Here is a 25,934-nt window from a genome sequence, read left to right on the forward strand (position 1 = left end):
AAGTACATGAAAGCCCCACGCACAGGCTCCTGAACTGGGAGGGGAAGGGAGTGGGGAGAAAGTGTGGTTTCCACCCTTGGGACCTGCCTGGGAACACCTAGTCCTGCCCAGGTTGGGGTGAAAGGGTGTCTCTTGAAGGTTTCATTTGTCTTTCCCAGATGACCAATGACACTGACCATCTTCTTACATGTTTATTGGCTTTTTCACTGGCTGTTTTGGATTCATGTCTTTTTGACCTGTTTTTTGCCCCCAGTTGGGTTGTCTTTTTCTTATTGATTCAGAGGAATTCTTTACAAATTCTGAACATTAATCCTCTGTCAATTAAATGCTGCAGATATCCTCTCAAAGGTCCTATTTCTCAATCTTTCAAAGCTTCTGCTTTTATGTCAGGTTCAAGAAACTCTTCTCTTCCTGGAGGCTGCAGAGATATTTTAACATATTTTTACCCTGAAACTTTGCAGTGTTCCCTTTTATATGTAAGTCTCTCATCTACTGGCACTGATGTTTGTATACGCTATGAGACAGGGGTTTGGGGTATGTTTTCCTATGATAACAGCCAAATGTCCCCTCAGTGTTATTAAGAGGTCTTATCTTTCACCATGGATGGGCAACATTAGTTCCCTTATAAGCCAAATCTCAATCCTGTTGGCCAACTTGTTTTTGGTTTTGCCAATAATCACACTGTCTTAACCACCATAACTGTACAATAACTCTTAATATTGGCAAGGCAAAAAACCCTACTTTTTTCTTCCAGATCATCTTGGGCAAAATTGGCCTTTTACTCCGCCACATAAATTTTAAAATTAACTTGACAAGTTCCACCAAAAGAAAAGAAAAGAGAAAAAGAAAGAAAGAGAAGGAAGGAAGGAAGGAAGGAAGGAGAAAAAAAGAAAGAAAGAAAGAAGGAGAAAGAGAAAGAAAGAAAGAAAGAGAAAGAAAGAAAAGAGAAAGAAAGAGAGAGAGAGAAAGAGGGAGAGAAAGAGAGAGGACGAGAGAGGAAGGAGGGGAAGGGAGGGAGGGAGGGAGGGAGGGAGGGAAACGAACAGTGCCTGGGATTGCACTGCATCTGTCATTTTGAGAGAAGATAATCTTTACAGTACTGCATCTTTCAATCCATGAACATGGGCTATTACCTCCTTTCATTTCTCTCAGAAATGTTTCAGAATTTTCAGTGTTGCGGTCTTGAACATCTTTAGATTTATTACTAGGTATTTGATATTTGATTTCCATTATCAATTTCTGTTTGCTTGCATATGGAAACACAATTAATTTTTACTTATTGGTTCTGTATCGTAGAATATTAATTTCAATCATTTTTCTGTAGTTATCGTGTATTTTCTACATATAGAATCAGGTCACGTACAAATAATGACAGTTGTTTCCACCTTCCAGACCTCACACCTTTTCTTCTTCTTTATTCTGCTGGCTCAGTCCTACAGTACAGTAACTAAAGAGAAATGGTGATAAAAGACACTTTGGTCTTGTTTCTGATCTTACGAAGGATATTTCAATGTTTTACTGGAAAGTGTATTGCTTGCTGCAGGTGTCCAACAGGTAACTATCAGATTAAGGAAGTTCCCATCTACTCCTAGTTTGCCAAGACATATTTTTAAATCACATGTTTGCTTAACTGTATTAAACTTTTCTGCATCAATTCAGCTTATTAAATAATTTCCCCTTCCATCTGATAACGTAGTAAACTTTTTTTTCTCATGTCAAACTAACTTTGCATTCCTGTGACAAACCAGCGTGGTCAGGCCCAGGGGGTTTTTGGGAACAGGAAGGCAGCAAGAGCTCCACACAAGCTACACCTAAACTCTTTTCCACGCTTGATTCTGAAGACTTGGAGACCTCAGTCCCACATTTCACCTTAGCACCTCACTTCAATATTTCGTTATGAGCATAAAATGAGAATTGGATAAATTAACATTCCTTTTTTTTTTTTTTTGAGACATTGTCTCGCTCTGTTGCCCAGGCTGGACTGCAGTGGCTGGATCTCAGCTCACTGCAAGCTCCGCCTCCCAGGTTCACGCCATTCTCCTGCCTCAGCCTCCCGAATAGGTGAGACTACAGGCACCCGCCACCAAGCCCAGCTAGTATTTTGTATTTTTAGTAGAGACGGGGTTTCACCATGTTAGCCAGGATGGTCTCGATCTCCTGACCTTGTGATCCGCCTGCCTCGGCCTCCCAAAGTGCTGGGATTACAGGCGTGAGCCACCGCTCCCGGCTGGATAAATTAACATTCTAAAGTGTGTTTGGTGGGGGGTTGCTGACATAGACAAAAACAATGAAACCGCTGTGACTCAAGAGTAGTATAGGTCACACCTCACTGTGCACACCCCACTGTGCTAACAGAGCTGCTTTTCAGACACGGGAACGGAAGCTTAGGGCTACTGGGAAACAGTAACGACACAGTCTTCATTGCAGCCAATCTCCCCATCCTTTCATATTTTTCAAACAAAGGTGTTGTTTTAGAACAGCTGTGAGTTTATAGAAAAATTAAAGCTAGTAGAGACTTATCCTATACTCTGCACCCTCCATGCCCTACAACTAACATCTTCCATTCCTGTACTCTGCACCCTCCATGCCCTACAACTAACACCTTCCATCAGGATGCTGTGCTTAGGTGTCATGACAGAAAAAGCCCGGACTTGATTCAGATTTCCTCCGTTTTTCCCTGGTGCCCATTTTCTGTCCTAGCGCCCATCCAGGGTCCTGCCTCTCTTGGCTGCAACAGTATCTCAGACCTTCCTTGTTTTTGACCACCTTGACAGCTTTAAGCAATCCTGCTTGGGTATTTTATAGAATGTGCTTCAACTGGGGTTTGTCCCAGGGCCTCACTGGGACTCCAGGGACTGAGCTGCGTGAACACCTAAGCAAGGGCTGACGTCAGACCAGAGAAGCCCCGATACCTTCAAACCGAACTTCATGGGCAACGGCAGAGTTCCCATGGTTTAAAGAAAGAGCTTAGCCTTAAAGCAAAGACAAAAGAAACCACTTGGTTCTCGTGTCTGGGGCAAAAGGACTTGTCTTTTGCCTGAATAAGGAGGGACGGAAAACTCCTTCTGCTGGGAGGATTGGCCATGAGGAAAACAGCCTCTTGGCCTGCACCAAACTGGCAGGTGTCTGTGAGAAAGCGCTGCGCGAGGGCCCATGTGGCCCACCAAGACCTGCACCTCCTGGAGGGCGTGGTGCGGTGCACACTCACATGCAAACCTTCCCTCCACACGGCGTGTGAGTCAATGTGGAATGAAGTGGGTATCTATTTGGGTTTGGGGCCATCATGCCATCCCCTCAGGCCTCTAACCTGTGTGACCAGAGGTAGTAGAATTTTACTGGCACTCTGATGCCCTTGTTCAATTAAATTATAAAAGGAAGTTCAGTGGGCTGAAATGTCATGGCTTGGAAACAAAATGATCTACAAGGTCAGCCAAATACTCAAATTCCCCCTAGGTCCTTCCCCTGACCTGAACCCCCAGAGGGGTCTCCATCTGCCACCTCAAGCAGGACCTGCACCTGCGCTGGCCTCCTCCCAGCTCAGCCTCCTGCTTTGCTGAGTGACCCCAGCAGCCCATCCTCCCTCCACTGTGCGGCCCACACCCTGGCACTACCCCTGGGCCTGGCAGATACTAGGCATAGGCTTGATGCTCCATAAACTTGTGCCCACCCAACCGGCCCTCCCTGGGAGCTCTGCTTATAGCCTCGAGCATCCCAGGCCACTAGATTCTGCTTTTCCCCACTGCGCAGGTTACTGAAAATTACCAAAGTTCCATAACAGTGCTTGCATCTGCCCATTAATAGAAATTAAACTTTAATGAGTAAGTGCTGTGAATTCCTCAGGCATGTCCAACATAGTTTATGTGCATTTATTAGAGAAAATGAAAATGGAAAAAGATTCTTTCCCTAAGCAATATTTTTCCTTCAGGGTAATCAGGCAGTCTTAAAATGTCAAGGATAACCTAAGAAGTATTCCTGTTGTCTCTCCACTAAGAATCAAAACTAGCTGTAGCTGCCGGCTTACAGGAAGTACGGGTTTGGCAGAACCTGCTAAAGGACACTGGATTGGCTATGATCAGTCAAGCCCTGAAACAGAAAATCCCAGGACAAAGGACTCAGTGAGGCGGAGAGTGGGCAGGGGAAATTTCAGATATGCCCACCAGTCCCGATGTTTTGGTCTGGATTTGAACAACTGGCTGTAAAAAGACAGTTTTTAAGACAACCAGTAAAAATTAAACATCGTTTGGGTATAAGATGATATGTAGGAATCATGATTCCTTCTGCTGAGTGTGATAATGGGGTTGGATCTGTTAGAAACACACATTCAAGTATTTAAGGGATGGTGCTGTGGCCTCTGAGATCGGTTTTAAATTCTCCAGAAAATAAAGGTGTGGAGAGATGAAGTGGTCACGATGGAGAGCCTCAGGGATTTCCTGGCGGGAGGTGGCTGTGGGCACTCGCTCTATGCACTGGTCTCTTTCCTTTCATATATCTTTGAAACTTTTCATAACAATTTTTCAAGAGATGCCAGGAATAAAGACGAGCCTGCCCCCACCTTCTATTCAATATGTCTTTCCTGAGCATCTGCTGGGTGATCTACCTAACTTGTTCCTTCACGAATATCCCAACAGTCTTCAGTTCATCCCCAGCCCCTATGTGTTCAAGCAGACACACACGTCTGGTTCACAGCTCAGCGAGCAGGCCCTGAGCGTCTGGGAACGTGAGAGTGAGCAACGCAGAGGCCTGGCCCCGGCCCAGCAGAACCGGCAACCCACACTGGCTGCCTGCGTCCAGTCCCGCCATGGGGTCTGCCTGGTGCCAGCACCTGCCCAGACACAGGGCAGAGGAGACTGCAGGGGGGTGTCCAGCTGCTCTCACGTGCCAGGCCAGGCTTGCTAACACCTGTGGCTTAGTCGGGTGATAGGGACAAAACGTGCAAACTGAGCCCGCTGGACACGCAGACTCAGCAGGCAGGCAGAGCCCGGTGGGGAGGCAAACGCGGGCAGGAGTGAGCCACGGGGGAAAGGGAACAGCAGGTTACTCGGGGATTTTCCCAGGGAAAATGTGGCAGTGGAAACACAGCACCTCGCCCCTTCCCCTCCCCCGTCGGAGAAACCATCCATGCACCCAGGAGGCGTGGCAGCCGGAGAAGCACCGGGGTTGCTGCAGGCCACAGGACGCGAGGAGCAGTGTCAGGAATCAGTGTGGAAAAGGGGCTGCCCGGGGGCTGAATGGGGCTGTCCTGTTGCCACAGGTCCTGGCACCGAGCATAGAGCCAGGTGTGTGGGCGGGGGCCGGCCAGGCGCTGGCTGAGCAGGTGATGGCCACGGCGCCGGCAGGAGTGAAAGCAAGCCGCTCTTCCTGCTCCGCAGGGCCCTGCTCTGTGCTCTAAGGGCCGGAGAACAGCGTTTCCTGGAGGGAGTGTCTCAGGGCCTCTCCTAGACGGTTCTGCAGGGCCTGGCATGGCCAGGCTGCTTCCTCCCTAAGTAAGACAACACGGAGAGACAGCTCTCAGCTACCCCTACCTACCAAGTGGCACAGGCCAGCTGAAGCGTTCATAAGTGATTTAGCAAATCAGGAGAAAATGTCCTCGCCTGCCTTTGAAAACAGCACCATCTCTGCTCCTGAGAGGATGTCCACTGCCCAGTGGCGAGGGCACATGTGGGTGCGTCACTGCACAGCTGTGCTGTACAGCGCTGGGAGCGTGCGAGGAGGATCACCTGGCATGCACCGTGTGCAGTTTCACCAGAGCCAGTGGGAGGAGTCACACACAACAGACGTCAAATAGGAACGCTGCAAAACACACAAATAGCATCTCCACAGCTAATGTAAAATAGTTTTCTGGATAGGTTCCCTTCAGTTAATGATGAAAGGTGATGCAGCTATCGGCAATGGCTGGAGACTAGCTCTGCGGTCTGCTCGTGGATAACCGCGCTCCCTCGCTGCCGGGCCACCCGCACAGCCGGGCAAACCAAAAGGCCCACTTTTTCATGCTGTACCCACCACTTCTGTTTCCCCGCAGGCATCCTACTTTCTAAACTAACACCTTTTCACTCCCGAGAATTCTAACAAATATTATACAATTCCTACCCGCATCTACCCTCCACCTGGACGTAGAACCCGTGTGGGAGGCAGTCCTGCAGGGTTTGGGGTGGAATATCCCCCCTGTCGAGTGGAGACGAGGCTGACATGAGGAGTGAATAAACGAACACAGATAAAGAACGAGGCACACAGTACGTGCGGGGCGAGAGACTCCCTTTGCTCCTCCCGCTTCACCTTTGCTTCAGTGCCGCAGCCGGGGCCCGTGCCCTCCACGCCAGGGCATCTGAGCCGAACAAGCTGCTCACCAAACGTGACTCAGCAACGAAAACCACTATACAGACGAACCATTCTCCCAGAATATTTTCCACACTGCTGAACATCACAAACTCGCTAAAGGTGCTTGTGGTTAGGTGGCAGGAAGCTGGAAAATAGGTGCATGTTAATAAGTAGCTCACGAAAAATGAGTCACTAATTTAGAACAATAAACTCAAAGTGGCCATTTGCGGAAAGTCTAGGCAGGCACATTAACTGCGCGGCTGGGAGCATCAAAGCAGAGATCCCTCCCTGGAGCGAGGTGGAGAACGGAGGGCGCTGACCACAGTGGACCACACCCTCTCCTCCTCTCACCAAACCAGACCTGAAAGCACCGCTCATTCTCTGTGCAGAAAAAGGATCCTTTGATGCCAAGTTTAAGGCAGCATTTCGGAAGTGACCAATCTGTGGTCAGTGGCCAGTGAGATGGGGAGAGAGTGAGGCTGGGGCTCCCCCAGCGCCCATAACACTCGGTGATGTTCTGTGCGAGTCAGGCTGACCCTGCCAGCAGCTACCCAAGTGACAGGCCGGTGGCTTCACCCAGCAAAAGTCTGCTCCAAGGTGCTTCAGCCAACACGCCCCTTGGGTTGAAAGACTTACTCCTCTTGCACTTTTTTTTTTTTTTGAGATGGAGTCTCGCTCTGTCACCCAGGCTGAAGTGCAGTGGCGTGATCTCGGCTCACTGCAACCTCCGCCTCCCGGGTTCAAGCAATTCTCCTGCCTCAGCCTCCCGAATAGCTGGGACTACAGGCGCCGGCCACCACGCCTGGCTAATTTTTTTGTATTTTTAGTAGGGATGGGGTTTCACCGTGTTAGCCAGGATGGTGTCAATCTCCTGACCTCATGATCCGCAGCCTCAACCTCCCAAAGTGCTGGGATTACAGGCATGAGCTGCAGAGCCCGGCCACCTCTAGCGCTTTTTAGGACAATATTTGCCTCAATTCACTGAAAATGTATTTCATTTTCTAAACTATTGTTGCCATATCTTGCTAGAACTAAACATAACATCCTGCTTACATTCTAAATGAGAAACAATAACAGCTAAGTAACTCCTAGCAGGAGCTGACGATGGTCAGGCACTTATCTCTGGGTTTCATTCACAGAAGTAGTACTCATGGTTCTCACCAGAGAAATAACTGGCACAGATACTGTTATTGTCCCCATTTTAAAGAAGCCAGGGAGATGATAAAGACCATCCTGATCAAGGTTGGGACCAACTTTCAAAAGCAAACTGACCCCCACTCTGCTGTTCTGCCTCTCCACACGGACTCATTCAAGCCTCAAGGTCAACATCCCATCACTGGCTCATTCATTCAAGTTTTCCTGAACTAGCGATTAAGTGATGGCCACAATTTTGGGGACACAGTGTTGTAAGTCCCTGCACCCCAAACTTCCACTGCTGAAGAGGTGATGACACGTAAATTAGAAGACCGTGTGGGATCACGTGCTGGAATAACAATCACGCAGGCGGAACACGGCAGGGACTGTTCTTTTAGACAAAGTGACCTGAGAGGGCCCTGTGAGGTGGTGGCATTTGAGCCGACACCTGAAGGACATGTGGGATCAACGATCCCAACGAGGTACACACGAGGTGGAGGGAACAGCAAGGGCAAGGCCTGGGAGGGGAACAAGCCTGGGGGTTCCCACGGGGCAGACAGAGGAGACACGGCTGCAGGTCCGAAGGCCATGGTAAGGACCTTCCATTCCGACTTCAGCCACCATGCGGAGTGTCGCCCAGGGCGGGGAGGGGCTGCGGAAGGCGGGGGAGGCGGAGAGAGAGCTGGGAGAGATGGGGAAAGGGATCCATCAGGACTCTGCGATGGACTTGGCGTGGGTGTGCCACACTCACCCAGGTAGGGAAGACAGAGAGACTTGAGTGGGGAGAAGCAAGCCGGAAATCCAAAATGCAGATTTGATGGAACCTGCTGATTTTAAGAGAGCCAATCACCATTTTGAAGAGCAAACAGTACGTCTAAACCTCCTTTGAATCATTACTTTGTGACTTTCTCAGGAAAAAAAAAATCCAAAATGTTCAGAATTTGTGTCAATGGTTCAAAATTCAAGTTCTCCATATTCTACAACAACATGTATTTCAGCAGCATCCTTTACTCTACCCGAAATCTCACTATCCAAATACCACGCCATCCTGGGAGGGGCTCTAATCTTCTAAAATATTTATTCATTCCTTTAGCTGAGCTATTAAAGAAAAAAAAAAAACAAGGAGCTGAATATTAAGTGACACACACTGCACTCAAAACTCTTGTGTCAGGAAAGAATGTGCACAAAATATACATAAGCAGTGAAGACTCGTTTAATGTGTCAGCTGGCTGCTCCACACTGGTTCTGCCGTCTCTCACCCCGCGACAGCTGTGCTCCTTCCTGCTGTGACGCGTCATCCAAGGGGAAGCTCTGCTTCCGGGCCTCCCGCCTCTGGAAGGAGGCCGTGCACAGCCCTCCCGCCTCTGGAAGGAGGCCCAGCGCAGCATCCTCCGTGATGGCCACCGCGGCCTCTCCCATCGGAATTGCAGGGAATACCCCGCTCCACATCTCCTATGAGGATGCGTGGATGTCCTCTGGTTAAACAAAGCACCCTGCTTTTATTCCATGACTCTGACAAGCACTATCAGGAGACACGTGTGGTCCAGACATCACCTTAGGTGCTGAGAACCCAGCTGATGAAGACACAGAGTCGGCCCCCAGGGGTCCGAGAGGAGAGGTCCAGGTGATAACATCACTGTGTCTTCAGTACCCGGTCTCTAACCCTGCAGGTGGCTCCCCAGAGATCCCGGGGCCACCTGGCCAGAACCAGTGGGGAAGAACAAGGAATTGAAGGCTGTGAAAATGTGACATGAGATTCAGATAGTCCAGGGCCCCGCACGGCCCAGCTCCAGGCAGTCAGCTCCACGTGCCTTCCTGCCACTGGGGCTGCCACTGGCTGGAGCCTCCAGCAGCTTGTCTTGGGGCAGACACAGTGGGTACAAAATCAAGCACTGGTTCACACAGCAGGCCATTCTCCTGAAGTATCCAGAAGCTGCTATGGGTTCAGCGTGCACTGGCAGTGGTGACACAGGCATCGGGCCTCCTTTAGAGGAACGTCTTGGCCTCTCCAAGGAGAAGGGGCCAGAAGAGGCACTTCCTCCCTGGGACCTCGACAGAAAGGACGGTTTTCAGTGGCCTGACTGTGGACTGCTGTGTTCCAGCCAGAAGCCCGCTGCCAGAGGCCACAGCGAAGGGGCACGACAGTGGACTGGCTCATGGGCCTCCCCAGCAGAAGAGCTGCCAGAGATGGGACTCGGGGGCGGTTTTCCCTCACCCTTGGCGGGATCCTCCCCTCTGCAGACCCGGGGAACCTGCCCACGTGTGTTCACGTGCCCCCGCCACACGCCTGGTTCACCTCGAGACCTGCATCAACTTACCGGTGCAGCCAGCACGTCTGGAAAGAGACTCGTCAGCTGGCACCTGGCCCTGTGGGCGCCGTCAGCTCCCTTAGAGGATGACGTGGGGTGGAAAGGGCCTTTCCACATGAGTGGTTTCCATGTCCTCAACTTTAAACGATTTCAAGACGTTTTACTCTCCTTAATTTTGGTACTACCGAATAATATACACCACGTAGTTTTATTTTCATATCTAAAATGTTTTCAAACAAAATTTTATTTCTAAAAAGTGAAGATGGGGGAGACACACAGATGCCACCACAGCTAGCGTCGTGGGTGATCTGGGTAAAGATTTCCATTCCCAGCCAGGCACAGTGGTTCACGCCTGTAATCCCAACACTTTGGGAGGAATGAGGCGGGAATATTGCTTGAGGTCAGGAATTCAAGACCAGCCTCAGTAACATAATGAGACCCTGTCCCTATCAACAATACAAAAAATCAGCTGGGTGTGGTGGCGTGTGACTGTAGTCCCAGCTACTTGGGAGGCTGAGGCACGAGGATCTCTCGAGCAAGATCACACCACTGCACTACAGCCTGGGTGACAGAGCAAGACCTGCCTCCAAAAATAAAAATAAAAAATAAAAACAAAGAGTTCCATTCTCCACACACTGGCCCCAGCTGTAACCACACAGTACCTGCAGTCCTAGCTCCTGCTTGAGATGCCCCAATCTACCTCCTTGTATTCTAGAACACGCTCTCCCACTGCACAAGGCTCATTATTCAATGGTACAAATGTACATTCAAGATAATCACATCATTATTATTTAATTCAATAGTACTCCAGCACACTCCTCCCTCCAACAAAACCAGCTTTTCTGGATCCTCTAAGAAGCAGGTGTACCATGTGCAGAAATCACTATTACATTTCTGTTATGCACAGAATGAATATACCCTACACATCACAACCTCCCCTACACCAAGACTAACTTAATCTTATCACTATTCCTTTTTATACAACAGAAGCTTCAGTTTCTAAATATACAGTGATTTCTTTGTATTGCATTCTATTTTAATCTTCTAAAAATAGAGCCACCACCAGGAGAAGCGACTTGCTGTTGGATGTTCACTACGCTAATGTCACTGGCAGGATGTGGATTTCTGCCCCTTCCAGACTTTCCAGCTTGTGGTTTCCACATGACGACTGTCATGGTGGTTCCAGGATTCTGGCCGGGAGTGTGGGAGCAGGATCGCCCAGCATCAAAGCCAGGATCCACTCCCAGGAGCCTGTGATGCCACATGAGCCAGCTGATCAGTGTGGGCCTCACCGTCAACAGCCATCGAATGGGTGCCAGGATGCTCTCCAACCTTGCAGGACTGAGAGGACTGGACTAAGCACCCACAAACGTACTCACAAGCCGCAGTGCCACAGATAGCCTATGCCATGGACATGGCCCACGCCACCATGGACACAGCCCACGTCACCATGGACACAGCCCACGTTGTGGGAGCAAGTCCTCTGACTTTCCCCTCCTTCAGCAGATTGGCTGAGAGCATTTCTCAGGTTTTAGCAGAAAGTTAAAGAGAAAAATCAAAAGGCACGAGGGAAAGAGCAGAACAAAAAGGAAGCTGTTGCCTCCAAGAGCTCTCATGTCCCACGGAAGTTCCTTCTTGAGGATGGGAAGATGGTCTGTGCCCGCCACCTCCTCCCCTTGCTTCTCCGCCAAAGGACAAACACTGCACCAAACCAGAGGGCAGTCAATAGGTTAAAATGTTTTCTTAAACGATTTTCCAAGGTTTTAAATGCTTCATAGCTCTAAGAACAGAGTTATCCAAAATTTTAAAAATATAATCCCTTATCTTCTGTTTAATAAAGTTATTTTTGAATTTTGAAGAAGCAGAAATCCGATCATTTCTCTCCTCCCTCCCTGACGCACACACCCTTAAGACCCAGCCTGTTCTCCGCCAGGAACGCACCACCTGCGCTTCGCCGGCCACCGGTTTTGCAACGGAGAGCCCGCTGGCCACGGCGGCCCGCACTGCACACTTCCTAGCAGGCTTCCTGTGTAGCTGGCAGTGTGCCTGGCAGAGCAGAGGCACAACACACATTCCCATCACACTTCATACGCGGCATTAAGCTCATGACATATTTTCATCTTCTCCTAAGATATTAGAGTCTCGGGAACAAATCCACTTCCTATCACTCAACGTGCAACTCAGATGATAAATCTTGTACCACTGCGTTAGCGTGGTAAAAATCAGAATCATACGGCAAAGAAAACACAGAAATTACATCAAAACAAAACAAAGATGCAGCTTTCGTAATCTAAAGCAAATTTCTTTGGTTTTATACCCATAAAGTCCCACACTTGGGCATGAAGGCAATCTTGAATTAAAACGAACACCCCTGTATGCTGTTATGACCGATGTCACATCTAATATTCAGACAACTAGAAAGAAGGGCTAGCCTTTTAACTCAACTACAAGAAAAGAGGAACTGGAAAACAGCAGTGGCTGAATGTGTACTCCTTGCTTTGATGTTCTGAATTAACACGCGCCTGTAGTAAAAGCCAATTTTACACTTTGAAAAGCACAGAGCCTCCTCATGTCCACAACACAGAGCTACAGAACACAGCAAGTCAACCAGAACTTTAGGTTCCCAAACCTTACTGCACTGACTCGATAAGGATCCCTCGCTTCCCACTGTAAGAACAAAGAAACAGTTATGAAGATAGAATAAAATCTCGCCCTAATATTGTAGGCAGAGTTGAATTCAAGAGAAGACCCCAATTACCAGAAAGGAAAGAAAGCAAACGGCCCTCTGAGCAGGTGCACTAAGACCCAGCTGCCTGTTCCTGGGGCCCAAGAGTCATCAGAACTGGAGACAGGCACCAGGGAGCCAGTGGGCGGCTGCATATCTGGGTGGGCAGGAGAGGTGGCCATGAGCGTGGCTTGGACAGGGAACTGGAACTGAGACCCTGTGTCCGGGCAGAACTCTTGGAGGACTGTCTGGTCTATGAAAAGAGAACTAGAAAACCCCACCCACCAGGCCTGGGAAGCAATAGAGGGTTGCTAGGAAGAGGCTTCAGTGAGAATCTAAGACCCTAAACCTGGGTCCCTGTGGATGTGGCCTCCAGATTCATATTCTTTGAGTAGTTCTGGAATCTCAAGTCTAGAAATAAGGGTAAAACTAGTCTAGAACCTGGGAAACCCTGTAGCCCCAGGAAGACAAAGAAAAATAGCTCCTTAGGGCTACACCCACAATCCACAGCACACAAAACACACAAAGAAGGATGAGAGGAAGGGAGGGAGGAAAGTCCCCTGCTGAAGAGTTTACCATGCAAATTTAACATCACAAATGATAGATGGAAACAACCCACCATGTGGGAATCGGCAAGAACAACAAAACCGAGAAATGACTCCAAAATGTCCACAAATATTAAAACAATGTGGAAAAGACAACAAGCTGCGCTAAAAAAAAAAAAAAGTTAAATGAAGAAGAGAAACTATCATGAAGGAAAAAAACCTGGAAATGGGAGATGAGAAGTTTTTAAAAAGAATTAAGTGAATTTTCTATAATTGAGAAGAACAGATTAGATCTAGTTAAAGATAAAAACAGCAAATTAGATATAAAGATAAAACTAGATCTAGATAACTAACCAGAATGCAGCACAAAGATAGGAAAAGATAAAGGAGAGAAGCAAGGATAAAAGAATAAGATGGTCCAACATAGACCTAGTATGAGTTCCTAAAGAATGGAAAAAATGTACAAATGCAGTATTAAAACAGATAACGAATGAGAATATTCCAGAATTCAGACATAACAGTCCTTAGATTTAAGAAGCATGCTAAGTCTCTATTAGGATAAATAAGTGTGAATCGACATCTAGACACAGTGCAATAAAACATTTAAACACTAAACATGGAAAAAGATCTTAAAAGCACCAAGGTAGGAAAGTTAGATGATCTAAGAACATTGAATTGAGAGGCAATGTTTCAACAGCAACAAAAGTAGCCAAAAGATAATGAAATGTCTTCAAACATGCTGAAAGACACAGCAACCTGCAATTCTACACCTATCTAAACTATCATTCGGGTAAAAGGGAAAACAAAAACATTTTCAGATAAACAAAACTTGAGTACTTACCATTCAGAAACCATTGCTGAACTAACAAGGGATTATGTCAGAAGGAAGAAAATCATATCCCAGGTGAAAGAGTAAGATGACAGAAGCAATGGTAAGGCAAAAACACTAGTAAATCATGTAAGTACACATTAATAACTACTGAATATTCAATTAATACAAAGGTTCATACAGATACCGAGACTATGTGTAATCTTGTTTTCTCACTGTGTGTGTGTGTGTGTGTGTGTGTGTGTGTTTCAAAGTCACTGTTTAAAACACCTGGTTGGTTTCCTCTTAAGAACAACATAGACCTTAAAATTAAAGGGCTTCCCTTTTTCCTTTGACAGCTAAGAAACTCAGAGCCAATTATGCAGGGTTTATGACCTGCATCTCCGGGCTCTACTTCTCTTTGAGAGACCGTCATTTTTTCTTTGCTCTGAGTCCTTTGTCTTTATTCTTACACAGCCTTCACTAATGAAATAAGAATTAAGTACAGCTGTCCCTGAAATTGTACGCACAGGCACCAAAACACTTGACACGCCAACATGCCACAGCCTTGGCTTCTTCTCATTATAAGGAGGAAGAGGAGGCCACTGAAATATGGTCTAGTGTGAGTAACTCTGCACAACTCTGCTGAAACAAAGTTCAGTACCACTAAAAGCAGGGTACGAGCTCAGCAATCCTACTCTGAAACACAAAAAGCTCCCAAGAGCATGACTGACAGCAATCACTGCCAGGCACATGGGCCATTCTTCCTGTGCTGCACTCAACATCACACGTGCATGTCGGAGAGCCCGTCTTTGGAAACAGCTACACACTTGGGCAAAAGCAATTCTTTGTGAGAAATAATCAGCAAAAGATTGCTTATCCTTTCTACACTCAGAAATTAGTTAAGAGTAACCAGCTCTTGGAAAAGGATAAACCACTCTATGCAAATACTCCTGCAAAGGTTCTCGATTAATGCAAATATTATGTTTGTCTTTTATTTTAATGCAAACAGCATCTGTTCTGCACAGTCCATGCCATCACTTTGTAGTCTGTGTGGAGCATCTCAAGTGTGTTCCAGCTGCGTTTCAGAGTTTGAAACATTCTCAGAGAGGCAGAGCCACAGAAAGCGGTTCACTGAAGAAAACAGCAAACAAGTTCAGTGGGGCTCCTTCTAGGAGGCTTCTTTCTCTTTTAAGGCAGGAGAGAAACAAATCCAAGAATGAATTCCCAAATTTACTTCTGCAGAGGTCTGGCTTTAAGTGTGGGATTTTTCTTTTTTAATAGTTTTGACTAAGGAAAAAATTAGGTTTGCTTTTTCTGTGAATTCTGTCGCAGGGGAAAGAGATTCAGAACAACACATGGGGGAAAGGACAGGCTGGTCGGGGCCAGGCTGCCATCCAGAGCACTGACCCAGCGCCGAGGCGGGTTCCAGCCCCTCCCAGAAGGCCAGGACTTCACCCCAGCAGCATCCTCCTCTTTCATAGAAGGTGTTGGCCATCTAGAAGGCTCCCTGCCAACACTGGCTTCCTCAGATCGCTCCACTGATACTGTTCTGTGTCTGCCCCTAAGAGGGGCATACCCTTGTCTGTTTTTGTGTCCATGACCCTGAAGCAATGACTAGTTCAGCAGCAGAAGGGACTGGATGGGCAGATGACTGGATGAATAAATCAAGCTACCTATGGGGAAACAGATAATGTGGAGAAACACTGACTTGTCACCCTTCAGATTTCAAATATAGTCAACTTCCAAATCTCTACCCAAGCAAGAGTACCTGGAAACAGTTTGACCTTAACATGCTAATAATACTAATTTTACCATTCCATTTGTTAGAATGCAGGTATACTGCTAATCGGATCCACTAGACCAAGAATCCACGTGGGATAGCCTAAGAAGACAGAAGAACCTGGGTATTTTCAGATGTCCCTCAACAGAAACACCTATTCTCACATAAACTTGCTGTTAAAACTCTAAAATATCCATGTAGACAAATAACTCTGGGTAAATAACAGAATAAGCATTCCTATAAACCCTTTAATAATTATCTTAGTTATTAATTTCATTTCAAATTGCCTGATTTTCCATATATACTGCTAATCATCTTATAGAAGAATTTTGTTTTTGACCAAAAAAACTCTGAATATCGATATTTAATAAACATGACTGCTTCAAAAAACACAAGTGCAAAAAAAAAAAGAAAAAAGGTGAAATAGGCCATGTGGTCCAGCCTTAGCAGAGAGAAAAATCACAAAAGCTGGACAAATATAAACACATCTTCTTGATGACACTACTAAGTTAAAAAAAAACAGTGAAGAATTACAGGACCAGACAAAGGCTGGGGGGTGAAGATGGCATTTGGGGCTGATTTTCCCCTGTTGGTATTTGCAGAGCCCCACCCCCAGCCATCTAAGAATCTTTAGTACTTTTGACCGCCTCTTGCAGATATTAGGGTTAGGAGGAGAACTCCAGGGACTGACAGGCAGGAGAGAAGGAGGGAAATGTGGGTTGGGATCTGGAAGCAACCCCTAGGGAAAAAAAGAGACTCCACAATAAATGGACCCTCAACAATTGCAGCTCTGCTTCTAATGACTCTGTAATCCTTGAAATAGAACTGAAGTGATGACTCATTGCTAGGGCCCCCAAGCACCAGGCAGAAACAAACTTCAGTCTACTAATGAGGATGATGTCATCATCCTAGGCCTCAAACTGTCTCAACAGATTTTGCAAATAATATTTTCAACACACACACTTACACATTCACATATCAGGCAGAGGAAAAGACAACCCAACAAAAAAAACCCAACAGAACAACAAACAATAGAAAAAGACCCTCAGGTGCTCCAGATAATAGAATTCTGAGAAAGAGACTTTGTTACTTATTTGCTGCAATACCAGGACCCATAAACAATAGTTTCAAAGTAGGAATATCAATAGTGTTCTAGTAACGATAAAAGAGTTGAATGCAATTTAAGATCCTGCGGCAGTTTTAGAAATAGATTTTAAAGAAATGATGATTTCTATGTTTAAGAAGATGAGTTGGAAACTTGAAAAGAGAATTCTAGAACTGAAAAATGCAAAAAGTGAAATTAAGGACTCCATCATTTAACAGATTAGACACAGCTAGAGTGAATTTGTGAGTAGGAAGGTGGGCCAGAAGGACATTTCCAGAATGATCTCAAAAGTCAAGGGCAGGAAGTTGGAGAAACAGAAGGCACCGAGACAGAATGTGCAGGCAGACACAGGAAAGGAGACACTGAACGGGTCAAAAGCACGTCTGAAAGGACCCTGGCCAAGAACTACCCCAAATGGCTAAAAGACACCAGGGAAAATTGCTGAAAACAAAAACGGCCGTGGAGGGGGAGGGGGGATTACCTACAAAGAACAGCAGTTAGGATGACTGGTGATTTCTCAACGGAAACACGTAAACCAGAAAACAGTAATATCTTTCACAGTGCAGAAGGACTGCTTAGAAGTACTAGAAGATGGTAACTGTCAAACTAGAATCCTCTAACCAGCACGGGCATTCTTCAAAGAGTCATTTTCCAACAAAGACTGATCATCTTACACCAGAAGACATTCTCACACCTGATCTCAGAGGGAAGACTGGAAATGAACACCCATATAAAGAACAATGAAAAGGGTTTACACGTGTGGATATATGGAAATGAATATTGACAAATAATAAAGTATGCCACAGAAGAGACAGGACAAAGGAGTAAGGGCACAGTGAAATGGCAGATGGGCACACAAACATTCTAGGCAATCATGTTCAATGTAAACAAACTAAAGGCTCTACTCCGAAGTGAAGACTGCCAGACTGCATAGAAGAACATAAACTAAAAAAATTCCCAAACACATGCTTTTCACAAGGAAATATCTAAAACATACAGCTATGCAAAGTATGGAAAGAAAACAGTTGGAAAAATATGTACCTTGCAAATAACAGCCGAAGGAAGGCTGGCATAGCAATATTAACGTCAGACAAAGTAGACTTTAACACAGGTACTGATTCCTGACTTTGACAGCGTATCACCCCATTTTTTTGAATATAATGCAACTAAAGTAAAAATCAACAACAAAAAAGAACTAGGAAAACCTTAAAATACACTTGGCCAGATGCAGTGGCTCACGCCTGTAATCCCCAACACTTTGGGAGGCTGAGGTGGGCTGATCAATTGAGCTCAGGAGTTCAAGACCAGCCTGGGCAACAAGGTGAAACCCTGTCTCTACCAAGAATACACAAAATTAGCCAGGCGTGGTAGAACTGTGGTCACAGCTACTCAGGTGGCTGAGGTGGGGGACTGCTTGAGCCTGGAAGGTGGAGGCTGCAGTGAGCTGAGATCACACCACTGCACTCCAGCCTGAGTGACAGAGCAAGACCCCGTCTCAAAAACAAAACAACAACAAAACAACAACAACCAAAAAAACACTTATAAATTACCTATATGCCAAAGGGAAATTGGGTAATAAAAATAGCACACATTAAATTTTCTGGGAAGCAGCGAAAGCCATGCATAGAGGAAAATGGCCTTAAAATCCTCATATTCGGGTTCCACTTCAAAGGCTTAGAAACAAACGGAAATTAAACTCATAAAAGTGAAAGGAAGTAATAAGAACAGAACTTACTGAAACAGAAAAGAGATATAGACCGAAGTGACAAAACCAAAACCTGGTTGTTTAAAAAGACTAATGAAGAGGAAAGATCTCTGCTGACAATGTTGAAGAAAAAAGGAGTTTCTTCTCAGCCCAGAGCCTGTGGTATGGCGTGAGCCCCAGTCCCTAGATCACAGCCTGCAAGTAGGAAATATGGCCTTGTGGGGCAGGAGAGGAAGAGAGAAGTGACACAGTGAAACGTCCTTTGTCACACAGAGGGCATCTGACAGCCAGCTAAGGAGAAGAGGATCTAAGGGTGAAGCTCCTGCCAGAGCCCAGGAAGGAAGGCTGAAGACTCAAGGAGCCAGATGACACCGCTCCCTTGCCTTCCACCCCCAACGCTGTGATTGATTTCCTAACTGCATGCCAGGCCGCCACCTCTATAAGCTGAGCAATTCCTTTTGGTGAAGTTCAGCTGAAAGACAGAGGTTGGGGTGTCCCATCCAACGGAAGCCCCTCTGCGGACCGCGTGTCCAGACTCTGCAGGCGCCCTGTGACGACTCTCTTGCACACACGCACACACACACGCTCATGCAAAAGCATCGCATGGTGGGTAAGACCGTGGACTCTGAACCCAGACGTGCAATTCAAACCAGACTCCCTCACTCACTAGCTGTCAGATCTTAGGCAAGTTTTATATGTCCCAGTTTCTTCATCATAAAATGGGAAGGACAACGCTTGGATCTCAGGGTGCTGATACGAGTATTAACTAAGTGGTACAAATAACGGGTCTGGAGCAGGGTCTGTTTATTGTCCAATAAACATGCTAAGTTTCTATTATCCTTCATCGTGGTACAGAATGCCCCAAACCGGCCTGCTGGCCTCATCTCTCTTCCCGCCAGCAATCCCAACACTGTAGCCTCAAGTGTCTCTATCAAATGCCTATCAGGCCACTCACTCCTGGGAGTACCGCTTCTCTGTGGCCCTGCTGTGTGGCCTGTGGCCTGTGGCCTCCGGCTCTGCTCCTGCAGCCTGCAAGGTTGGATGTGAGGGGATGTGAGGTCCCCCTGCTGCAGTGTTCTCATGCCTGGCCTCCCCCTGGGCACGCCTTCCACCTGGGGCCCGAGCGCTGCCTCTCTTTCCCATGGAGGGCAGGAAGGCGGCTCACATTGCATTGTGCAAATGGCTCTGTCTTTGCTGGGATGGGGACTCACACCTTGAACCTGAGAAGGAGGCACGGAAGCCTATCCTGTCAGCGGCCACCAAGAAAACCCAGCTTCCTACGTGGAAGATGACAAGGCCAGGGCACTGGGGTGGAGACGGAAGCCAGCCTGGGAGCGGCTGGAGCGGCAGTCTCCGCTCCCCACAGGTACATGCACCTAAACTCGATGCGGCACTAAGGTTTCAGGTGGACGTTCTGGATGTTTTGTTTGTTTCTGTAGAGACAGGATCTTGCTACATTGCCCAGGCTGGGCTTAAGCCTCAGCCTCCTGAGATGGGGTGGCCGGGGTGGTGTTAAAGATAAGACTGAGCCCAGCTGGCCCATTCTGTAAAGGCAAACAGAAAATCAAGAAACGTGCAGGTGAGACAGGTACTGCCGAGGCCTAAATGCACTTTAGGAACTAAATTCAACAGAATGTACACGAGCCCAGGTAACACGCTAGAGATGAGACTAAGGAGGGCGTACAGAAGGCACCAAGTCCAGAACTCCACCCCAGCAGCTGCCGTGTGCTGAGATGGAGCGTGGTCACAGCCAGCCAGGCTCTGCACAGACGGAAGCAAACCGTGGCAGGCCTGGGCTCTGGGAGGTGGGCAGGCCCTGGGGACCCTGTTAGGTGCATCCATGGGGCATCCTAGGACATGACAAAACACGCTTCAACAGTTGCCAAAAATGGGCATCTTACTAGCCTGCCAGCCAGCATGTAGACTTCCCAGGCTGGGAGCCTCAGGTCCACAGAGGAGGAGCCTTCTGGTTCCCCCACAACCCACGGGCTAGAGACAAGGCTGGACAAGGGGTCTCCCTGCTGAAGAAAAGCAGAAGTCAGCGTCCTAAGAGGGCCTGGTGAGATGGTGGCCCAGGCCCACGGGGAGGAAGGGGCAGCAGTGGGCTGGTCCACTCTTAGAAGGCGAGGTTTCCAACTCAAACCACCCCAGAACCTTCCCTCGCTCCTTAACAGTGGCAGGAGCCCGGCAGGGACACCCCCCACCCGGCCCAGCCAGGAGGTTCTGCTGCCAGCCTGCCCAGGGCAACTGAGAGTCTCGAAAAGCCTATGTCGGAGGGTCCTCGGGTTGCCTGGCGCCATGAAAGCACTGCCTTCGTGAGCCCCCGGCCCCTACAGGTTGGCCTCTTCCCTGAAGGCCCCAGACACAGAGGCCCTAGGTGGGAATCCAGCAGGGTGGCATCTGCCCCCTTGTCGCTCCAAGGGAAAGCCCTGAGGGACCCTCCCAACCACGCCAGCGCCGCCTGCAGTGACGCCGGGCCACGCTCACCCCAAGGCCCAAGAAGGAGCCACGGTCCACTGAGACCCACGACAAGGTATCCACGTGGCTTTTTATAAGCTAGTATTTCCTCCTGTGGTGTCTCCTTGGGGGAATCCTAAATTTCTGTGATGTGAGATAAAATTTTAGTGGGATTACAGAAACCTTGGCTTAGTATCAGAGACCACAATAACACACTTTAGAAACAGAGTAGCAATTTGGTTCTCTGCGGAATCGTAAGTGGAAGGGATGTATTTTCCTTGAGATTTTAAAAATAATTAGGAGGAAGAGATAAAAGAGAAGCTTTTGTGAAAGCAGAGATAGAAATTTAATTAGAAACAGACGAGGATCTTCTCAAATCACCCTTGCCTTGTTTGCCCAGGTCCGAGATGAGGTAATGCCATTAGCAGGCAAGACTGATCTCTACTCTGAGGGGGCCAGAGCCTGGCTCTGACACTCTTGGCCAAATGTCCCCATCCTCAGCCTGGCTCCATTTTCTGGGCAAGAGTGTGGGACCAACGAGACCTGGGCTAGTGCAGGGGTGGGCAGGCACCACAAGCGGGACACCCCCAAGGGTGCACACGGCTGAAGGCGCAACGGGCACAGGGCATTCTGTGGGCCACGCTCGCAGCCCAAGAACACAGACGAGGAGGCCTGTGCTCAGGCACTAAGGACACGGAGGGACTGTTCTGGGATCCACCCAGCAGCTCTTGGAAAAGCTGGTGCCCTGGTGAGCAGGAGAGCGTGAGGCTCTAAGGAGTGGATCCCTCACTGGAAGGTCACGGCACCACTGAGACAGCCTGGAAGCTTCTGTGCTTCACGAAAGATCTACGCGTGAAGCCCCCGGGAAGCCAAGCCCCAGGAAGGGCCCATTATGCCGATGAAGACACGAGAGAATGAAGGATGTGGACACTGCCCCAAACACTCGGGACCAAGAGAAGATCCCAGAACCTGCTGCGGCGGTGACACAGGCACATACACACCACTGCAATTACTGCTAGAAAATATGAAAAACACTACCCTCCTTCATGTCTGCTGTGTCGGTGCCCTAGCCTCTGCCCCAGAGGTCAGAATGGCTCCAAGGGCACGGGGCCACTGTGCAACTGCACATCAGCCATCCCGAAGCCCGCCCTGAGGACCCCCGCCCAGCCCAGCCCCCTACACATCAGCTGTCTCGAAGCCCACCCTGAGGACCCCCGCCCATCCCAGCCCCTTGCACATCAGCCGCCCCGAAGCCCGCCCAGTCCCCTGCCTGGAGATCACCCCTTCTCTTCACAACAGGCAGCAGGTGAACAGCTTCCCCCTCGGAGCTGCCCCATGGGCCTCACTGCACAGGTGTGGAGGCGTCCACGTCTACACCACCAGGAACCCCCAGGCAGGGCAGCTCTTGGCACTGATGCCCAACGGGTATTGCTAGGCCCGCACGGAGCTGCTGTCAAGGACAGGGGCAAGGGCAGGGAAGTGAGGCTCTACACACAGCAGCATCTTCATGCCTTGCCTGAGAGTATGTTCTAGAAGGACACGGGAGAGAAGAATAAACAGGGTCAGGACAGTCAGGAAAGGCCTCCAAGTTGGAGGTGTTAACCACATCTGAAGGGGTTCCTGAGAGACACGGGGGCACCGACGGGGGGACAGAGCCCAGTGCTGCTGTCCTGGGCATGCAGAGCAAGCCGCCTGCCTGGCCCCAGCTGTCCGACTCGGCTGAGCCTCGCCTCCTGCTGCTCGATCTAAGCTGGCTGCCCAGTGACGCCACTCTGCCCCTTCTCTGCAGAGGGGAAGCTCCGTGAAGGCAGAGCCCTGTCTGGCCACTGCTCCCCTCAGTCTGAAAGGAAGGGTACGTGGGCACCTCTGAGAGCCAGTGGCTTACTCAGGGCACACAGGACCTTTGGGGTGGGGGCCATCCTCGAGCGGGGGCTCAATGACTGAAAACAAAAGGGGGAAGACACAGCCCTGGAAAGGAGGGGGCTGACTTTCCCAGGCCAGGCGGGGAGCTCGTGGGGAGACGGGCTCTGGCCTCAGCCTAAGGTCACACCCCAAAGGCCATCCCAGACACCGGAGTTCCTGCCGCTCGGGGACTCCCAGCAGGCACAGGCTTCACCTCTTTCTGCTCGGGCCGCCCCAGCCTCCACTGCGGAGGAGCAGATGCGCCTGCCAGGTTCCATTCAGCTTCGGTTTGCAAATGGAAGCACAGGCATTTCCAAATGCAGCTCACATTTGTGAGTGTGGCAAAAGAGCGAAAGACCGTGGGGGCAGGAAACTGGATTTTGTTTGGTTGGTTTCTAAATGTCTGTTAAGAATGTGCTAATGTAAGACTACACATGAAGGTCGCTGGGCAGATGCAGCGGTTTATCTTGGAAAAAGAAGTGTGGCTGCCCACGGCTCTGACAGGACAGCCAACCACATGCGACCAGAGGGAGATGGCTTGGGTGAGCCGAGGCCCTCCTGATCCTAAGTGGCCAACAGGGTGCTTTGAGTGATGCTCCCTAGGGCTCGCAGCCTGAACCTGCAGAGGTTGAGGAAGCTGATGCAACAGTCGAAGAATAGATCAGCCTTCCTGGGTAGAAGCCAAGGTCTCTAGAAGCCCCGTCCTGTCTGCAGCATTTCTTGGGGGGAGGCTCTTCTGAAAGCCATGCCTTGCGGCAGGTCCCAGGGTGTAAACACTGTGCAGGGGGGACACCTGGCCCACTGCTGCCCCGTCGGAGGGTCCTGCCCCTTCCTTCCTACTCGGTGTTCCGGGGACCTGAAGGCCCCCATATGCTGCTGGAGGTGTGGCAATGGGCTTTCTTTTTTCCATGAGCTGGAAGCTGCCTCTCAGAACTGTCCAGCTTCAGAGAACCCTGAAGATGGACTCTCCTGCCCCTCCCCCTGCAGAGCAGGGCAGGCCCAATGCGGGCTGAAGTGGACAGGGGTGCAGAGCCTGACAGGGGCTGGAGAGTGGGGGATGGGGGCCAAAGAGCCAGGGGCCAGCCCTGGGGCTCTCCCACCTCCCTTGAACCACTGTGAACCCGCCCCAGGGGAGGACTTGCTGCTCCAGGTCACCCTTAACCCCCAAGTGACAAGCAGGGCTCCCACATGTGTGCCAACCCCAGGATGGGTCCAGCACACTCAGGAAAAATCACAGCCTCTGACAGTACTCCAGAGGCATCACAGATGAAGTCATAAAACCCTCCCCTTCAAACGTGTGACTTCTCAGCAAACACCGCCACAGACTTTCGTATCAGGAAGTCAATCTTAGCCCAGCAATGGGTGTGGTTTCAAAATAAATCACTCCTCCAGAGAAGCCAAGGCCTCCCACTCAGAAACAGCACTTCCAAAATCAAAGAAAAACCCCACTGTTAGTGGCCTCCCAGCACCACCCCTCTGTGCTTTCTGGGCACTGCATGTGGGACAGGTGAAGAGCCCTCCTGGGGGGAGGTGCGGTGGGGCGGGAACCCAGGCCCTCCCTTTGCCCCTGACTCTCCTGCTCCGCAGAGCCTTGAGGCACAAAGGACAGAGCAGGAACACGAGGTGATGCCAATGCTCACCAGGCCACAGCGCCGGCACCAACACAGGCACCCCACAAAGACACAGCCACCAGGCTGGGTGCAGGCTCAAGGTCAGCCAGCTCTGCAGGATCCCAAACAACAGTGTCAGAGACACCAGGCTTCTTGGAACTTCCAAACACCATTTTAAGGTTATGCATGAGCTCAAGCATTCTGCTAGGTCCTGGGGGTGAATGGGAATGCGGGAACCATGCCATGGGCTGGCTGGTGCTGAGTGGGCAGTGCCCCGATCAGGCTGGAGTACTGACCTCCTGGGCCTGGTGGGATGAGGTGAGGCCAAAGCGAGCTGCCTGTCCATCCTCATACACCAACCGTATGGCAGGAGCGTGGCCTGCCTTGCCCAGCTCCCCCTCTAAGGACAGGGAGGGGGACACAGAGCCCCTAAGCCTGCGCAGAGGCTGCTGTGGCATCCAGAGGGGCTGCCAGCCAGTGAAGGCTGCTGAGACCAGAGGTGAACCATAAGGCCAAGGGGCCAGGCCAGCCGGAGCCCACCACACTGCCATAGCCCCTCGCCGGCATCCCAGCACAGTGCCCGAGGCAGGGAGCCCACACTCCAGGCAGGCCTACTTCCTGTAGCAGAGCCGCTAGGTGGGAAACGTGCCCCTGATTCTCCATAGGCCGGGACCCTGGTCCCAGGAGCCCACACTGAGATTCTGACTGTCCTCAATGCCCTGCACTGCAAGCCACTGGCTTGGCCTGCCCAGCCCTCCATGACCTCCGCACAGCCATCCTGCCTGCAGCACAGATTCACAGCCCACCTGCCCAGGGGGGCCTGGCCCTGTGCTGGCCATGCTACCCCCACCTATTCCAGAGGTGCCTCCGGGGCTGCTGAGGACAAATGAGGCTAACAATTACATACCAGCTGTCCCGAGGCAAGAGTCCACGATTTCATGACACACACCTTTGCTCCCTCTGGGAAATTATAAGCCACTGGCCAAGAAATCATCATGGCTTCCACACACCCAAAGGCAAGCGCTGCAGCTCACAGCTCACATCCCACCCTCTCTCCCTCTGTCTCCACATTCTACATCTGCCTCTTGGGACCCTCCCAATGTCACCATTTCCAGGTAGCCCAAAGGGGACTGTGAGCTTGTAAAGTGGAAGAGGCTCTTCCTTCACTTAGCCAGCACTGACGGTGTCTACAAGGCACCCGCTTGGCCTCTATAGCTCCTGGGACTCCTGCTCCACCCCACACCCAGGTGCTGTGGCCTTCCCCAGGGGACACCAGGTCATTAGTTTCGTCTCCCCCAGCCCTAACCACTGGAGGTCCCCTAAGCCACAGGGGACAAGGCAGGGCTACTGGTAATCTCTCAGGACACCACCCTGGGCATCCTGGGCACAGTGGCTGTGCACAGCTGGTGCTCACAGCTGTGCAGAGGGAGAGTAAGTGCCCACATGGTCTCCGCGGCAGCTGTACACTGCATGGGGGGTGCCGCTTGACCACCTAGCACTCCTGTGGCACTGGACACATTACTTGACCTCTGATGT

At 49.7% G+C, this 25,934-nt stretch overlaps 1 protein-coding gene across 49 annotated transcripts in view, besides 6 other annotated features; it reads right to left on the reverse strand.

The window, feature by feature from the left end:
• The window catches only part of HDAC4 (histone deacetylase 4), a 353,482-nt gene that overhangs the window by 193,055 nt on the left and 134,493 nt on the right, over nucleotides 1-25,934 (reverse strand). The gene's annotated exons all lie outside the window — the stretch shown is intronic.
• Nucleotides 2,649-3,346: an enhancer, noted in NCBI's record as "H3K4me1 hESC enhancer chr2:240165567-240166264 (GRCh37/hg19 assembly coordinates)". NCBI's record gives its function as "activates a minimal SCP1, AML or CMV promoter by ChIP-STARR-seq in naive H9 embryonic stem cells {active_cell/tissue: H9 hESC(naive)}" and the evidence as "EXISTENCE:reporter gene assay evidence [ECO:0000049][PMID:30033119]".
• Nucleotides 5,889-7,088: an enhancer, noted in NCBI's record as "MED14-independent group 3 enhancer chr2:240168807-240170006 (GRCh37/hg19 assembly coordinates)". NCBI's record gives its function as "activates an origin of replication core promoter dependent on BRD2, BRD4, P300/CBP and CDK7 cofactors, and independent of MED14, by STARR-seq in HCT116 cells {active_cell/tissue: HCT116}" and the evidence as "EXISTENCE:reporter gene assay evidence [ECO:0000049][PMID:35650434]".
• Nucleotides 11,201-11,702: an enhancer, noted in NCBI's record as "H3K27ac-H3K4me1 hESC enhancer chr2:240174119-240174620 (GRCh37/hg19 assembly coordinates)". NCBI's record gives its function as "activates a minimal SCP1, AML or CMV promoter by ChIP-STARR-seq in primed H9 embryonic stem cells {active_cell/tissue: H9 hESC(primed)}" and the evidence as "EXISTENCE:reporter gene assay evidence [ECO:0000049][PMID:30033119]".
• Nucleotides 20,831-21,330: an enhancer, noted in NCBI's record as "H3K4me1 hESC enhancer chr2:240183749-240184248 (GRCh37/hg19 assembly coordinates)". NCBI's record gives its function as "activates a minimal SCP1, AML or CMV promoter by ChIP-STARR-seq in primed H9 embryonic stem cells {active_cell/tissue: H9 hESC(primed)}" and the evidence as "EXISTENCE:reporter gene assay evidence [ECO:0000049][PMID:30033119]".
• Nucleotides 22,881-23,548: an enhancer, noted in NCBI's record as "H3K27ac-H3K4me1 hESC enhancer chr2:240185799-240186466 (GRCh37/hg19 assembly coordinates)". NCBI's record gives its function as "activates a minimal SCP1, AML or CMV promoter by ChIP-STARR-seq in primed H9 embryonic stem cells {active_cell/tissue: H9 hESC(primed)}" and the evidence as "EXISTENCE:reporter gene assay evidence [ECO:0000049][PMID:30033119]".
• Nucleotides 23,979-24,078: an enhancer, noted in NCBI's record as "active region_17384". NCBI's record gives its function as "activates an Ori minimal core promoter by ATAC-STARR-seq in GM12878 lymphoblastoid cells {active_cell/tissue: GM12878}" and the evidence as "EXISTENCE:reporter gene assay evidence [ECO:0000049][PMID:35858748]".

The sequence above is a fragment of the Homo sapiens genome, chromosome 2, assembly GCF_000001405.40.
Source record: "Homo sapiens chromosome 2, GRCh38.p14 Primary Assembly".
NCBI classification, from domain to species: Eukaryota; Metazoa; Chordata; class Mammalia; order Primates; family Hominidae; genus Homo; species Homo sapiens.